This window comes from Homo sapiens, chromosome 1 (assembly GCF_000001405.40).
Source record: "Homo sapiens chromosome 1, GRCh38.p14 Primary Assembly".
Taxonomy (NCBI): domain Eukaryota; kingdom Metazoa; phylum Chordata; class Mammalia; order Primates; family Hominidae; genus Homo; species Homo sapiens.
This window is the reverse complement of record NC_000001.11, coordinates 182,132,612-182,149,491: the sequence shown is the minus strand read 5'-3', so window position 1 is coordinate 182,149,491 and position 16,880 is coordinate 182,132,612. Positions and strand designations below refer to the sequence as shown.

Sequence of the window (16,880 nt, the reverse complement as noted above, 5' to 3'; positions counted from 1 at the left end):
TTCTCATGGAGCCCTCTGTTACCAGTCTTTCAGAAGCACCTCCACAGAGATCTTCTGTCGTCAGATGCTCCTATCAAAGACAGCTCCTCCTCTTCTTCTGTCTTCCTCTAAAACCTAACCCCAGGTTCCCCTCAAAGGCTTCTTCCTGAAGCTTCTCCTGAGTTCACATATCTCTGTTATTTTGAAAAGAAACCCCAGTACTCAGTAACAGTCAAGATGTGAAAGAAATGAGACTGAATCAGAACAAAGTTGGACCTCGGATAGTGAACAATAATCACAACCTCCAATCTTCCTTTAGTATGAAAGCTCTGGTCTCTGAAGTCCCTCTCCAAGGTCACTGCCTGGTAAGGGTGGCAAGGGCTGACATAGGTCTTAGGTCCTTCCTAGCAACCTGGCTGTGCGTGGGAAGGAATGCAAGTGTTTTCTTACTCTCGTACATCTTTGCTGTATCTCTTAGTTTTCGTCCACTCCTGCCTCTTGTCCCTGCATGTTTATCTCCCTGCCAGCAGCCCTCCACCTTTAGAGCTTTCCCTAATAACCTGAGGACTTCCAGAGTGAAGCAGGAATAGGGAGGCAGTGAGATGTAATAGGAAGATCTTCCCAGAGCTGAGATGTCCCAGGTGTTCAATGAAATATTTTGGGTTTGGTAGAACATTTTTAAAAAATATTTTTGAACATTGGCACTAAAAATAAAACCCAAACTCATCCCTTCTCCTTTAGATTTTTTCCCAGCTCCTTTGCACCAGACATTCAGTAACTGATACTCCTTGAGCATCTAGTATGTGCTGGGCACTATAATAAGCTCTAATGAAACAGAGAAATCAGAGTTCTTGCCCATAAGGAAGGAGTATACAGTCAAAGAAAATTCCAATTATATTTATCATTTGCTCACATACACCTTAGAGACCTACTATGTGCCAATTCAGTTTTTATCAAACATAGTCTACCGGCCTAACCTGATAAGTTTGCTGGTAGAGGAAAGGAGGTAGGAAAGTTGGTGCCTGCCACTGAGGGGTAGGGTTTAACAGTAATAGGAGAAGGAAGTAGGAGGAAGGAAGGATGGGAATCGGGTAGGGAACCACGGTGTCCTCCTCTTGCCTGGGGCCATTGGAGACCCCCCACATGCTGTTACTCACACCCATGCAAGGGGCTTCTTTGCTCATCATCTGGGTTTCCAGGTAGGGCTGGGCCAGCAGAAATCTATAGGGGCAGAACATCCCACCCTGGTGCCTTTCTCTGAGGCCAGGGCCCATGGGAAAAGCTAAGGCAGGGCTGTGGCCTCAGATTACACTGTCACTCCCACGAGGCCGAGGAGTTTGGAGAACAGGGTTCTGGCACCGAGGAAGGCCTCTGAATTCTGTCTCAAACCCATGATTAACACTGTAATCTTAAGTCACTTGACCACTCTGTGCCTCGGTTTTCCTCAGCCGTAAAAAGGGGAAAGAGTACCTAAATCATTGGGTTACTATGAGAATTAAATAATTTAACCCTGCATAGCATATAGTTCATGCTCAGCAAGGGGTCACTGGCCCAGACAGTACACCAAGGACCCACACATGTGTCTTCTAGTCAAGCAAGCGTTCAACCAGACTCAAATTTTATCAAAAACTATTGTCATTATCTGAAGCACATGGTAATGAAGTCGTCTGAATAACTAGTTCAAAATTGTTTTGAACATAGTGATCCTTGGAAAATGAAAAAAATATATAAGTATTTTTCTAAACTGGAATGTGGCAGGGAGTAGATTAGGAACCCACTTTCCATCACTTTCCAAACATGACCAGATTTAACTGGACATATTCTGACACTCCATCCTGGAGATGGCTTCTTTAAGGAGCAGTTGTTGGGCAACAGCTACTTTCATCATTTTGGTTAGAAACTAACCCTGAGTAACCAGTCTTATGAGAGAAAACAGTTAATGTCTTAAAAATCTTTCTGACTCCAACTCCAGTGAGTAGGAATTTTAAGTCATGAATACTACTAATTGTAATACCCTGACTACTGATTATCATTATAGCTAACATGTATTGAGACCTTACTAAATACCAGGCACTGTCATAAGTGCTTTGCATGCATTAACTCATTTAGTCATCAGAAATAACCCCCAAATTGGTGTTATTTTCATTTCTGTTTGACAAACAAGGAACTAAGGCGCACAGATGTTGAGAAACTGACCTGTGGTCACACAGCTACTCTGCAGGCAGCTGGTACTGTGGCTCCTACGTGTAACTGGCCCTAACAGACATAGCTCCTCGCTGTTCTCTTAAACTTAGTACGTGGGGTTGAATATTCCTTTCTTATGGAAAGATTACAGTTTCATTTTTCTCAGTGAGGAAATTATTTTCATAAATTGATTGGATTTATTCTACACACAAGGTATTAGAATCAACATAGTTTTTTTTTTTTTAAGTTTCTATGTTTCCATTTTACTTTTTTTTTTTTTTTTGAGACAGGGTCTGGCTCTGTCACCTAGGCTGGAGTGCAGTGGCATGATCCCAGCTCACTGCAACCACTGCCTCCTGGGTTCAAGTGATTCTCCTGCCTCAGCCTCCTGAGTTGCTAGGATTACAGGCATGCGCCACCATGCTCGTCTAATTTTTGTATTTTTAGTAGAGACGGGGTTTCACCATGTTGGCCAGGCTGGTCTCGAACTCCTGACCTCAAGTGATCTGCCTGCCTCGACCTCCCAAAGTGCTGGGATTACAGGTGTGAGCCATTGTGCTTGGCCCATTTTACTATTTTTATGCTTACTTTGTATCTACAGAAGTGATATAGGTTTTGCATGTAAAGTGAAATTATCACTTTTACTTCTGAAACAAAATGATTTAAGTCAGAAAGTTTGCTTACAGGAAAATTAATGTAGTATGAAGCAGTATTACCAGGTGTCTGTGGGTGTGGTTGTGTACCCTGAGGGTATGGTACCGCGGGGCTGGTATGTGTACCCTGAGGCTTGGTGAGCACCTGGTCAGTGAGCCGGTGTTTGCCTGGACAAGTCTGAGCTGCAGTTGACACAATGGCCATTGGCCAAACTGGTGGAAAGTTTCAATGACAGGTAAACAAAAGACTGAGGACCAGGAGGGGAACAGCCAAAGAGGATGTAGGTATTACAAAGGAGAATTTGGGGAACATTCTACTAACCCGATAAGTAGCCGTGTGTTCAAAAATGTCTTTTGCCCTTCCCTGAGCCAGTCTTCCTTCAAAATGTTAACAATACCACTGTTTCTTTCATTCCAAGAAGCTTGATCTTCACACCTGACATTTCAGAGATCCTGTGTCTTACAATTGATGTGTATGTTTAACAGAGAAACATTTTTCTTCTCCTTTCCCCCTAAAAGCTGTTATTAACTCGCTGCTGTGTCTTAGTCAATGGCTTCTTAGAGTCTAGAAAATACAGTAAGAGTGATGTACGAGAATACGTGGTTTTGAATGTGGTGCTTAAGATACATCTTTGACTTAACAATTGCCTTAAAATCCTACCTTAACAAAAATTTAGCTCTTACTTTCAATTTTGATTTGCTTTTGATTAGACACAAGTAAGGAGTGAAGCCAGACACAAACCCAGCTCTTCTCATTTGAAGTTCAGAATTCTTTCCCCTGCATTCCATAATTTCTCCATATTTATCTCAGAGGACTATGCAGAATATGACAGTGGGTTACCATGGAATATCTGGGCAAGGAGCTCTAAGAGTAAAACTCCAGGCCAAAGACAAAACAAGTATTCAAATCCCAAGGCATCTCTGTGAGATGACAGATGCTCTTGTCTGCTCTTCAGATCCGAGGGGTTTCCGGAGGGCCAGCAACCATGCCCCCAACACGTAGATGGCTTAGCTTGCCTAAGAAGGGCGGGCATTGTAGAAATCTGGACAGTTCTGCTGACCTTCCTCTTTCTGTCTCCCCACTCTTGATTTTTTATGTTAGTCCCCATGGCACACCCTCTTTGTGAAGTCTCTCCAAATGGAAGCACAAGCTCTCCCGAAGGATCCCACACCCCACAGAGTGATCTCTAGGGTTGCCCATAGCAACAGCTGGTACCATGGAAAAAAGCCTTCCTTTCATCCGTCAGAGCTGGGCAGTAGGACCCTCTCCCAGGACCCCAGGAACAAGGTCTTTTTCTAGCTCTGCTATGGAAACTTGGGTGACACACATCACCTCTTGGAGCCTCAGTTTCCTCATTTACCAAATGAGGCTGATGTGAAGTCATTTTAGAGTCCCACTGAGGACCACTACTGTGATTTTCCTTCACCAACATGAGATACATGTGGCTGGTTTCAGGCTCTTTCCTGAAGCAGATCTTAGTACTGGGGAGGATGGACGGTGATGTCGCCACTGAGAGTGATGAGAGAGAGCAGACCCACCACCAGCTGCCCTCCTGATCCTTGGAAGGCCAGTCTCACATCTCAACATTCCCAGCCACCTTGTTACCAACGCTTGTGGAAAATTTGATTTGGACAGAAGGGACTCCAGCCCCTTTTAAGTATACATATGCACATGCTTTAATTATTAACTGCTTAATGTTGTCATTGAAAATATTTATTTTAATACTACTCTAAAAGAGTGAACATTTTTCACGTATTGACCCACAGCTGATTTCTTATCTGCTGTTACCAAGAACAAGAAAGGAGAGAATAAAGCTGAGGAAGGTGGCAGGCTCGATAAATGTTAGATTGAACTGTTCTTTTTCAGTGCATGCCCTGCCCTTATCACTGATATTGCCATTTTCTACTTTCTTTTTTTTTTTTTTAAAGTGTATTTTGAAGGCAAATAAGAAAAGAGAGCTATGGTGTAGTCTGGAAAACCAGGGTGTTTACCGTTTAGAGGAACCAGAAGTTCATAAGGGCCTGGCTGGACTAAGAAATGACAGCTCAGCACAGGGAAGGGGGGAAAAAAACCAACAGCAGCAGCAGCAGCAATGCAAGAACAAAACATTTTAAGAGATCTGGCCAGAACTGGTCTGTACAAATCCCCAGCTTGGCCTTCCTCCTCCACTCCCCCTGGCTCCCAGGCCTGTTTCCCGGAGTAGTAGCAGCCTTGCCTCCCCTTAAGAAACCTGCCCACAACTCACACTCCCTACATGCCAGTCATGCACACTCGTGTGTGTCACACCCTCTGCTCATCCCCCCACCCACTGAAGTCAGACCATGTGTGAGGGAGGATGAGAAGCCGGGGAAGAGGAAGACAGCTCAGCTGGCTGGCCCTGGCCCCTGAAGAAAACAAGCAGAGGCAGGGAGGGAAACATACTGTTCCCTGCAATCTGATCACCTCCGTGCAAGCCTCTGGGCTACACACCCAGGCCCAGGCCCAGAGGCCACGCTAATGAGACCAGGCAGGAAAAGTGAGCTGGTGACTGTTCCTGGGCAGATTAGAAACACATTGTGGAGAAGTGGGGGCACGGTGAGGGTGTGCAGGGCAGTGTGGTTGAGGCTGGGTGTGGGGCTGGGGCATGCGGGCCCAGAAAGGAGCAGAAGAAGGACTGCTGTCTTTCTGAGCTCTGATTCCAGCTCCTGGGGTGGCCCCCTGGCAGCTGCTGAGGCCTCACAGTGAGAAATCTGGAACAACAAAGGCTCTGGGACAAAAGACTCTCTGGCCAGAGGGGCTGCTGCTTTACAGGGGCCAAAAGCTTCACTTCTGAGGGGCACGTGGGTCCACCAGTGTGGGAGGCTGCAGGCTGAGAGGCAAATGGGGTTTATTGAGGAAAGGGAACAGATGTTTATTGGGCATTTGCTGGGTGCCCCCATTAAGCTAGGCTCTTTTTATGTATTTCACTGTGTTTGAGATCACTGTGAAATCCTCACTGCATCGGAAAATGGGAAGCAAATAGCTTTTTTCTTTTTATTAGGTCAGTGACACCTAGAGTTCGCCCAATATCACATCAGTGCCATTTGTTTGAAAAGTTAACCAGAGGCCAGCTGGGATTTTTGTCACTAGGAAAACAATGTAGCATGCGCTTCTTTAGCTTCCAGTCCAGGCAAGGACCTTCGGGGGTGTGAGGATGGAAGTATGTCTTCATGCTTTCTCCTGTGAGCCGCCAACCCACAGAACTGCTGGACCCTCAGCCCTTCAAATCCATCCTCCGGGAAGGTGCCTCTCAAACCTGCAGGGCCACCGCTGAAGTTCTCCCACGGACTCTACTCTAGCGCCCTCTGGTGGCCACCACTGCCAAGCCTGGTTGACTTGACTGGGAATTTCTGGTTAATAGCAGCTACGTTAATATCACTTAGCCCAGCTTTGTGAAGGTTCACTTGTGCTTTTACTTCACCTCTGATTTCTGCGTTATCATTACTCTTTCCATGTTTCCACAGCCTTTGTCAGTTCTCTGCTGCTTCATCTACGTTATTTTCATGGGGACCTGTGTTATTTTCATGGGAACCCCAAAATCAGGGAGATGTTTTCTTACCAAGATCTTTGTTTTGTACTATATTGCCAGTGGACCAACTTCGTTTTATTGGAATTTTTTTTTTTATTTTCTGGAGGATCTTTCTCCCTTCCTCCCCTTAGGAATTCAGGACACATTTCTGAAAGACTGGTTTTACTATGTGAGAAGCACAATGTTGTATACTATTTGAATTTGAGCTTCCCTTGTCCAGGGACGGAGTGTGGGCATGCCACCTCTGTTCAGTTATGGGGTGAGTTTCTTGGCCGCCTGGGACCCCTGCCTCCCGCCCAAGAATGCAGGTGAGAGCGTTTGCCCCTGGTTTTGACCAGGATGCCCAGTCCTGGTGTCTGAATTCCACCCATGAAGCCTGACCAAGCACAGTGGGAAAATCAGCCTATGGCCAATGGACATGGAGGCCAAGTTTGAGGGAGAGGGAGTTTGCCCAGAGTGGCAGCTGCAGATATGATCTGAAGGGTAAATGCTCACTGCAAAACAGGAGGGGAGCCAAGGTCAGAACCAGAGAGGCAGGGTCAGGCAAAGGGCATAGAGAAGAGCAAGAAGCTAGAGAGAGGAGAGGAGGCACACACACAGTTGGGACCAAAGAGGCCAGGTGAGATCTGGGAGGGGATGGTGAAGAAGCACAAGGCAAGGATGCCAGGGCTCTCATCAGGGGCCTGCTGTGTGTGGCATGGGTCTAAGTGGGTAAACCACAAGTCTGCAGATCTGACCTAGTTCACAGAGCCAAATGTACTCTCCAGATGTCAGGTTACTGTTTCTCCAGGGAGGCCCGTCAAGACCACAGGTAAATAGAATCCCCAGTAAGCCAGCCCCATGGCACAATTCCATGGATATAGAGCATGGGTATCTCTGGGGCCTTTGTCACACGAGTGTAGCTGGTGGATTAGCAGGGCCTTTATTTATGTCGGGCTTCATTTACTTGTTAATTTGTTCTTTAATCATTTATTCACTTCTATTTGACCAATGTTTTCAGGTGTCTACTGATGTTCTAAGTAAAATCCTGGGTAATGGAGCAGAAAGACAAATAAGATATGGTTTTGACTATTGTAAAGTCTGGATTTTCTGATTCAAAATTCAGTATCCCAGCCAGGCATGGCGTCTCATGACTGTAATCCCAGCACTTTGGGAGGCTGAGGTGGGCAGATACTTGAGGTCAGGAGTTGGCCAAGACTAGCCTGGCCAACATGGGGAAACCTGGTCTCTTTTAAGAATACAAAAATAGGGGCCGGGTGCTGTGGCTCATGTCTTAATTCCAACATTTTGGGAGGCCGAAGTGGCCAGATCACCTGAGGTCAGGAGTTCAAGACCAGCCTGGCTAACATGGTGAAACCCCCATCTCCACTAAAAAATACCAAAAAATTAGTCAGGCATGGTGGCAGACACTTGTAGTCTCAGCTACTTGGGAGGCTGAGGCAGGAGAATTGCTTGAACCCAGGAGGCAGAGGTTGCAATGAGCCAAGATCACGCCATTGCACTCCAGCCTCAGCGACAGAGCGAGGATCCGTCTCAAAAAAAAGAAAAAAAAGAAAAAAAAAGAAAAAAGGCTGGGTGTGGTGGCACATGCCTATAATCTCAGCTACTCAGGAGGCTGAGGCATGAGAATCACTTGATCCCGGGAGCCGAAGGTTGTAGTGAGCCAAGATCATGCCACTGCACTCTATCCTGGGTGACAGAGCAAGACTCTATCTCAAAAAAAAAAAAAAAAAAAAAAAAAAAAAGAAAGGAATCTCTGTAGTCTCTTTGGCTAATCTCCAAAATCCTGCTTTAGGCTCCCCAAAGCCAAACCTTTGCCAAACCTTTTATTTGAAGCTGAGGTGGCAAAAGGATAACCACACAAATTCCTTGAGCTCTGCAGGTAAACAGCTAGGTCCAGGGAGGCTACAGGGTGACCTCACCCAGCCTCAGGTCATAGGCTTATAGTAAGCCACAGCTGCAGGTATTATCTGCACCTTAGAGAATTTCTCCAGGCTTCACCACCTGAACTCTGCTACAAACCCTTCCCTTCTCTGTGCTGTTTTCCCTGGATCATGATCCTAGAGTCTCCTTGCCTAGGTCCTCTGCTTTGATGATGAATCTCTGGAATGTTGCCCATGAATTTAACTTCCATTTTTCCCTTGGATCCCTCCCTCACCTCCATGCACTACATCCCTCTGCAAGATTCCTGGAGCCCCAGCATCTCCGGTTTCTAAGATACAGCATCCCAGCCTCTGTCTAGCTCCTAGGGTTCCTGCTTGTTTAGAGAAAAGATCAGGGTTGGGTTCTACAGCCTGAGATGAAACTTGGCTGTTTCCACCCATTGCAACACAGGACCCGAGAGCCAAGAAGGATGAGAACAAAGTAAAAGTTAGTTAGGAACAGGTGAAGGAGCTGGGTTTTTGGTAATGGTAGCTAAGGCAAGCTGGGATTTTCAGTTTCTCTCTATGGGCCAGCAATCCTGAGTGCTTCAGATTGATTTAAAGGGTCAGAAATAAGAAAGGCAGATGGTTGTCAGCCTTGGTTGCACCTTAGGATCACCAGGAGAGCTTATAAAGAAAACCATGCAAACTCCAAGTAAACATGCTAGAATGCAATTTATGGTGGTAGATCAGCATTTGATGTCACTTGTTCAGGATTCCAGTGCTGAATCAGAATCTGAGGCTGCATCTGAGATAACATCACTGGAGTATAAGCCAAGGGCAGCAATGATCCCATCTCATGTGCCGATTCTGATTAATCTACAGTGGCTCCCTAGAACACTGTACTAAAAGAAGTTGGGAGGCTTGGTCTGTGCTGAATGAAAAAGAATGCAATGATCGGCTGGGCACAGTGGTTCACGCCTGTAATCCCAGCACTTTGGGAGGCCGAGGAGGGCAGATCACGAGGTCAGGCATTCGAGATCAGCCTGGCCAACATGGTGAAACCCATCTCTACTAAAAATACAAAAATTAGCTGGACGTGGTAGCGCGTGCCTGTAGTCCCAGCTACTTAGGAGGCTGAGGCAGGAGAATCTCTTGAACCCGGGAGGCAGAGGTTGCAGTGAGCCGAGATTGTGCCACTGCACTCCAGCCTGGGTGACAGAATGAGACTCCATCTCAAAAAAAAAAAAAAAAAAAAAGAAAAGAAAAGAAAAAAGAAGGAAGAGAATGCAATTATCAATTAGTGATATCTGGCCCGGGCAGGCTAGCATAGTAGCCCAAGAGCATGACTATTATAGCTAGAAGGACTGAAGTTCCAGCCCTATCTCTGCAACTTACTAGCCAAGTCTTTAAGCAAGTTACCTAACCACTTTCAGGCTTGTTTATTATCTGTAAAATGCAAATAGATTATAGCATCTGCTTCACAGGGTTATTGTAAGGATTGTTGAGATAATTCATGTCAAGTGCTTAGCACTGTATCTAGTAGAGTGCTCAATAAATACAAGTTGTTATTATCATAAATATTATGGGCCCAGATGTGGGGCAAGGCAGCTTGTATTCAGCATATCTGCCATCCCAGGTGCAGACTTATAGGAGTCCTTGAAAAGACTTGTGATTAAGACACCATTTAAGGGCACTTGTAGAGACAGTCAGGACTTCTTCGTTTCTAGGATATTATTACAAGAAGTTTTCAGTTGATGTTGATATTTTGCTTTATTCAGATTCTCTCCAAGAAGTCCTTTGAGCTCCAGCTATACTGAACAACTTGTTTCCCCAATTCATTGTGTTCTCTGCCTTTGTGCCCCTGCACGTACTGTTCCTGCCTGGGATGCGTGTCCCTACATTACCTACCTATGCCCTATGCTCTGGGATAGTTCACATAAGATTGGCATTATCTATTTCTTGAATATTTGATAGAACTTTCCAGTGAAGCAATCTGGGGCTAGAGTTTTCTTTGTAGGAATATATATATTTAAATAAAGGACAGATTCTCACTATGTTGCCCAGGCTGGTCTTGAACTCCTGGCCACAGGCAATCCTCCTGCCTCAGCCTCCCAAAGCACTGGGATTACAGGTGTAATCCCACTGAGTCTGGCCAGATATTTTAAATGATATATTTAAATTCTTTTAGTTAAAAATTGTTCGGGTTTTATATATATTCTTGAATTAGTTTTGATAAATTGTAGGTTTTTTCTTTTTAAAAAATCCATCTTGCTGTTTATCTCATAATCACAATACCATCAAAATATCTGGGGGAAATTTTTCAAGAAAAATTAGAGAACGATAAGTACAATAGAAATTTTTGGTTAATTTGGAAAGATCTAAAAAATGATAATTATTTAGGTTTCTAACTATAAAATTGTAAGTGACTAGGTATTGACAAGTTCAGAAAAGCTCAAGGTTTGTAAAAATGTTCAGCCTAGTAAGATTCCATAGTGTGACAGCCTACTTATTTCCATGGAGCCAAGGGAATTCAACCTGAAGGACAAAACTGGGACTCTCCTATCAGAATCCCTGCCACCTTCTCTGTGCCCTACTCTTCATGACTGGAAGAAATTTTCTCCTTCCTTAGAGATGGGAATGCCAAGTCATATTCTCTCAACACCATGCCTTAGAGTAGAACCCTATGCTCAGACCCCTAAAGTATTATTATTATTATTTTCCACACCAATAGTAGGAATAGAATTTCCACTGGGAAATAGGCCATCTAACTACAGAACACTTGTCTTGTCATTTTAAAAGATGTAATCAAAGTATAAATTACTAGAAAAATTAACAGACATAGACATAAGAGGTACAAGATTTTAATTAAATTCAACAACATAAAATTGCTCTGCCAAATTTCTATAAAAGTTTCCAAATATTCTCAATTCCTATACTTTATTGTTGCAGACAGTAACAAACAGTTCACACACAGAGATCAGAGCCTGGGTAGAACTGGTCCAGAACAAGAGATCATTCCTGAGCTTTCCATTTGAAATTAGACTCTTTGGGTCCATGAAGAGGAATTCACCTTGAAAGCCAGGATTTATTGAGAGAGAAAGGGTTTTGTATGTTTCCAAAGATTCCCTTTATATATCCAGAGCAGACCTGAGGGGTCTGAGCAAAGGGTTCTACTCTGAGGCACGGTATTGAGAGAAGCAGGATATGACTTGGCATTCCCACCCCTAAGGGAAGAGAAAACTTCTTCCAGTCATGAAGAGTAGGGCACAGAGAGGGTGGCAGGGATTCTGAGATGAGAGTTCTTATTTTGCCCTTGAGGTTAAATCCCCCTGGGTCCATGCAAACAGCCAAATATATTTGGGGAACCCCCAAACTGCTTCCCTGGGTCTAGCTTGGGAAGACTGTGGGTCTCTCAGAGTTGTCCTCACTCAGTATAGCATCATGTCAATCTGGCATGGAAGCAAAAGCCTGCCATGGCAGAGGGAAGTGTCTAGAATGATGATCCCAATAGAGCAATCTCAGATTCCATACCTATATGTGGCGTCAGCAGATCCAGTTCTGACTTTGTTCCAGTAGGGGAACATAGAAGTGCAGAGAGGCTTGTTGGATGGGAAGAGGCCTGAGGTCAGAGGGAACAGAGGGTCCTTGTGGGCACAGGCAATGATGAGATCCATAGTCTTTGGCAGTGAGAGCCACTAAAAATGTCTTAAATAACATAACACATCTCTAAGAATCATCAAAACTACAATGCTGAGACAAGCAGCATTGCCTTGTTGATTTCAGTTTTTGGAATGTAAATTTCTGAACAGTAACTGCTGCTGTAACTGAATGGAATGGCTTCAAAATGCTAAAAATTTGTTAAATAACCTAGGCAGGTTCAGCCAGGGCCGTGATAACTCTTCTAATTGAGGGTTGAGAGATACTGAGGACAAAGGCCTTGGAGTTAGACTGATCTGGGTCTAATCTTGGTTCTGCTATTTACTTGCTCTGCAACTTTGGGAACATAATTTCTCTCCTAAGTGAAACAGAGATAGGAATATCTACCTTGCAGCGTTGTGGTGAGGATTAGCAAGTATGCATGTAAATAGCCTTAACCCTGGGTATTCACTGAATACCTAGAAGATACTTGAGAAATGGAAGCTCTTTTTATATTGATTTGGGCTTTGCAAGCTGCTAAGAAACTGACACCCTCCTCTTTCAGTTCTACTTTCTTTAGAGAAAGAAGCAAAAGATTCTCATTAAATGTATTCCACGAAGAACAGACTGACACCAACCTCTTCATATGCCTGAGATTTCTATTTTCAGCAGAGCCCACTCCAACTTCAGAGGGAGAGTGTATTACAGTTTTACTATTAATCAGCATTATCTGATGACAGACTTGTTGACTGTGAAAGTCTGGTTTTACTTATTTCTTTTGTTTTATTTTAGTAGACAGAATGCCGTATTTTTTTTAAACAGCTTTATTGAGTTGTAATTTATGTACCATACCATTTACTAATTTAATGTGTGCAAGTCAATGGCTTTTAGTACATTGATAAAATCATGCATCCATCACCAATCTCAAATTCTAGAACATTTTCATCTCCCCACAAAAGAAACCTTACACCCACTAGCAGTCAAAGCCATTTCCCCACCTTACCCCTCAGCCTCTGATAAGAATGAATCTACTTTCTGTCTCTATAGATTTGCCTATTCTGGACATTTCATATAAATGAAATCATATAATATGTGACCTTCTACAATTTGGTTTCTTTCAATTAGCATAATATTTTCAAGGAAAATCCCTTATTCAATGGTGAAGATATCTTATTATGTCACAGGAGTTCAGTGAGGGCCATTCATTCCTTGGTAGTGTCTTCTTGAGGCCCAGGCACTCTTTGGATCCTTTCTCAAGCCCAAGTTTACTGTCACAGGAACCCCAGGTCCACAACAGCCACTTAAGAGCATCAACTTGCACCCCAGACTTGGATTTAAACACTTTGGATCACTGAATCCATATTGGCAGTGGAGCTGATGTGCTTGAAATTAAGATGCATTCTAATGCTCAGTCTCCGTTCAGGCACTATCATGTAGATCTCCCAAGGGGTCTATAGACCCACACAGGAAGCTGGCATAGTGGTGGCTTTTGAGGCAGACTCTATAATCTTGAGAGGTAGGTGTGTCATTCAAGCTCCTGTGGTTAGATAGCTCTGGGGGCTGCTAACAAAAAAGGAGAAAAAATGTCCTGAATGTCACAAAATCTGCACTGAATTCAAGTCCAGTCATTCAGCTACTCCATTCTCTGTTATTCTCCTTGTGGAACTGAAATCTCATAAAACAAGGTGTGTGCATCATAGTTCGCAGAGGTGCTCTGCAATGTCACTAGAGGAAGGAGGAGAGGTTGCAGCCTAAATTATCCAGGGCACCACGGTGGGGAGTCAGGGGGGTGCAGTTCCCAGAACAGAACAATCCAGGTTCAGCTAAATAAAAGGCTCCAAGAGACTTAAACTGTTCAACAGACAGCTTGGAACAAAAGTCACAAAACAAAATTGGCCTCAACTTCAAGGTTAACCAACTGAAAATAAATAAGCATATGTGTAAGAAAATCTTAAAAGCCAACTGGCAAGTTTTGCAGAGGCTAGGCAGTAGTTTGGCCCCAAGGCCAACGGTGGGGCTAAAGTTGGGTCTCCCCCTGGGTTACCAAGGAAGGAGCTTCTTTAGCCAGATAGGATACCAATAACCGAGAACAGAAGGTCAGCAGCATTCTGAAATAGATAATAGGCCAAGTCATTTTGTAAGATATCCCAATGTTTCCTTCTAACTTAGTGAGAAATTATCCCAGGCATAGCAACAGTCACCAGAATTTTAATGCTAGAACAAACCTCAGAGGTCACTAGTTTGATGTGCTCTGTTTCCAAATTGGGAAGTAGGGTTTAGAGAAATTAACGGACTTGACCAAAGTCATACAGCGATGGAGTTGCAGGTCCAGGAGATCCCAGACTACCTGACTCCAGTTCAGTGTTTTTTATATCACACAGCCTGATTCCTAATGTGTGGCCTCTGGGAATTCTTGTTTCCTAATGGCACTATGTCTCATGTGGGCTTTTATTACAAATCATATTTATAGTTAATAGCAACAGTATTAACAGTCCTCTGGTGGTAAGAACTACCTGCTCACCAGTTTTTGTTTTTCAGGCTGAACACTGACTACAGGAGATTGCAATATACACGTTTTTCATTTCCCTGTTGGCAAAAAGAGATTCCTAATAAATCTTGCTTTCTGAAGCTGCCTCTAGGGATTGTGGGTAAAATTTAGGATATTTATTCAATGTCAACAAGAAAACAGTTTCCTCATACTCAAAGTCAAGGTGTATATTATCTAGCTTAGCAACTAAATCTGGCCCATACAGAGAAGCAGTAACTCTATAAGGGTTGATTTGTGAGCTAAAATAATAAGCTCTGTGAAGTTCCTAGAGGAGTGCAGGTGAGTGAGGGGTGTGGGTGACAAGGGAGGGCTTCATGTGGGAGATGGGAAGGCTTCATGGCTTTTAGTATATTGATAAAAATCATGCATCCATCACCACTGTCAAATCCCAGACCATTTTCATCTCCCCAAAAAAGAAACCCCATACCCATTAGCAGTCATAGCCATTTCCCCACTGTATTAGTCTGTTCTCCCATGGCTATAAGGACATACCCAAGACTGGGTAATTTATAAAGGAAAGAGGTTTAATTAACTCACAATTCCACAGGGCTGGGGAGGCCTCAGGAAACTTACAATCGTGGTGGAAGCGAAAGCAAACATGTCCTTCTTCACATAGCGGCAGGAAGGAGAAGAATGAGTGCCCAGAGAAGGGGGAAGCCCCTTACAAAACCATCAGACCTCATGAGAACTAACTCATTATCATTAGAACAGGATGAGGGAGACTGCCCCCATGATTCAATTATCTCCACTGGACCCCTCCCGAAACACATGGGGATTATGTGAAATACAATTCAGGATGAGATTTGGGTGGGGACACAGCCAAACCATATCACCTGCCTTATGCCTCAGCCTCTGACAACAACTAATCTACTTTTTTCTCTATAGATCAGGGAAGGCTTCAGGTGGGAGGTGGGACATAAGCCAGCCTTTAGATAGAGTAGGATAGAGCTGATGAAGGGGGTCCTTATGCCAAGAGAAAGAAATATGAGGAGTGAGGGCAGAGCCATGGGAATGAGCAGAGCATTTTCATGATGAGATGGCTAAGCTGGAATAGAATTAGGTGTGGAGTACAAAGGAATAAGGCTGGATGATATAGTTCCTGGCAACCCAGAAAGAGGATCATAAATAGAAGCCACAGAGACATTTTAAGCAAAGAAGTGGCATTAATGTAGTTGTTCTGGCATGCAGGACAAATTGAAGGACACATAGACCAGAATCATGGGAACCAGTCATTACATCTCTATTGCAAGACACATCTATAAAGCACCAAGGGTCTGAATTAGGCATCCCAGTACAAGTAGAAAGGGAGTTACAGGCATGGCATACATTTCAAAGGAAATATTGGGCCCATGCCACGTGCTTGTGTTTCCTTAAGGTAGCCTTTGCTCATTCCTCCTATTGCTGAAACAACAAATAGTTTTACTTACAAATATTGTGTTTTCTAGATGTCTATATATTGATATTTGTATGTTTCTCATGATTTACTTGATTTTCCAAATGTCTAATTGCTTTAGATGAGGTTTAAATTTTTGGAAGAATTTTTCAGGGTGGAGTTATCATAATACTTTATAGTCTTCAAATGACACGTCAAATATTTTTGAAATCTTTAAATGCTCTGAAGTTTTCAACATATAGTATATTAGTCAGGCTCTTGCTGTTTCAGGCTACAAGAAAGAGACACGGTCGGGGGCAGTGGCTCATGCCTGTAATACCAGCACTTTGGGAGCCTGAGGGCGGTGGATCACCTGAGGTCAGGAGTTTGAGACCAGCTTGACCAACATGGCAAAACCCCGTCTCTACTAAATACAAAAAGTTAGCCGTGTTTGGTAGTATATGCTTGTAATCCCAGCTACTTGGGAAGCTGAGGCAGAAGAATCGCTTGAACCCAGGAGGCAGAGGTTGCTGTTGGCCGAGATTGTGCCATTGCACTCCAGCCTGGGCAACAAGAGCAAAACTCTGTCTCCAAAAAAAAAAGAAAGAAAAGAAAAGAAAAAAAGAGACACACCCAGCTTATGCTAAGTGTTGGAGCTTTATTGTTGGAATTTACAGGGAAGTAAGGGAATGGGTCAAGTGCTCAGCAGTTTTGCAACCATTCTGTGTTCCACATTCTGGTCCAAGGCTTTCAAAATGGAATGCACATTAGGCCTAGACTGGACTGGGGAGCAATAAAATACTTTGACATGATTCAGGTTACTGCAGAGACTCCTGTGACCCTCCTTTTCTGTAGTATCTTTTACATTTCCCAAGAGAGGATGTGATTGCATTGTTGCTATCCAGTGTGAAGGACCACCACTAGATAGAGTTTTTCCCCAACACAGCACATTGAGTAGTGCTCTGCATCATAGTTAATCCATACTTGATTGCGTTTGACTGAAGGCCAATTCCTATAGTAATTAGCTGTGGCAGGGCTGATATCTCTCATCACAGATGAACTGAACCGTAATTATTCAGGCAGAAAGAAATGCTT

At 43.8% G+C, this 16,880-nt stretch overlaps 3 annotated features.

Annotated features, from left to right (window-relative positions):
• Nucleotides 4,597–5,264: an enhancer, noted in NCBI's record as "H3K27ac-H3K4me1 hESC enhancer chr1:182113363-182114030 (GRCh37/hg19 assembly coordinates)". NCBI's record gives its function as "activates a minimal SCP1, AML or CMV promoter by ChIP-STARR-seq in primed H9 embryonic stem cells {active_cell/tissue: H9 hESC(primed)}" and the evidence as "EXISTENCE:reporter gene assay evidence [ECO:0000049][PMID:30033119]".
• Nucleotides 5,265–5,933: an enhancer, noted in NCBI's record as "H3K27ac-H3K4me1 hESC enhancer chr1:182112694-182113362 (GRCh37/hg19 assembly coordinates)". NCBI's record gives its function as "activates a minimal SCP1, AML or CMV promoter by ChIP-STARR-seq in primed H9 embryonic stem cells {active_cell/tissue: H9 hESC(primed)}" and the evidence as "EXISTENCE:reporter gene assay evidence [ECO:0000049][PMID:30033119]".
• Nucleotides 5,942–6,118: a silencer, noted in NCBI's record as "fragment chr1:182112509-182112685 (GRCh37/hg19 assembly coordinates)". NCBI's record gives its function as "represses an EF-1alpha promoter that drives an FKBP-Casp9 reporter gene in an ReSE screen in phorbol 12-myristate 13-acetate-treated (for megakaryocytic differentiation) K562 erythroleukemia cells {active_cell/tissue: K562(+PMA)}" and the evidence as "EXISTENCE:reporter gene assay evidence [ECO:0000049][PMID:32094911]".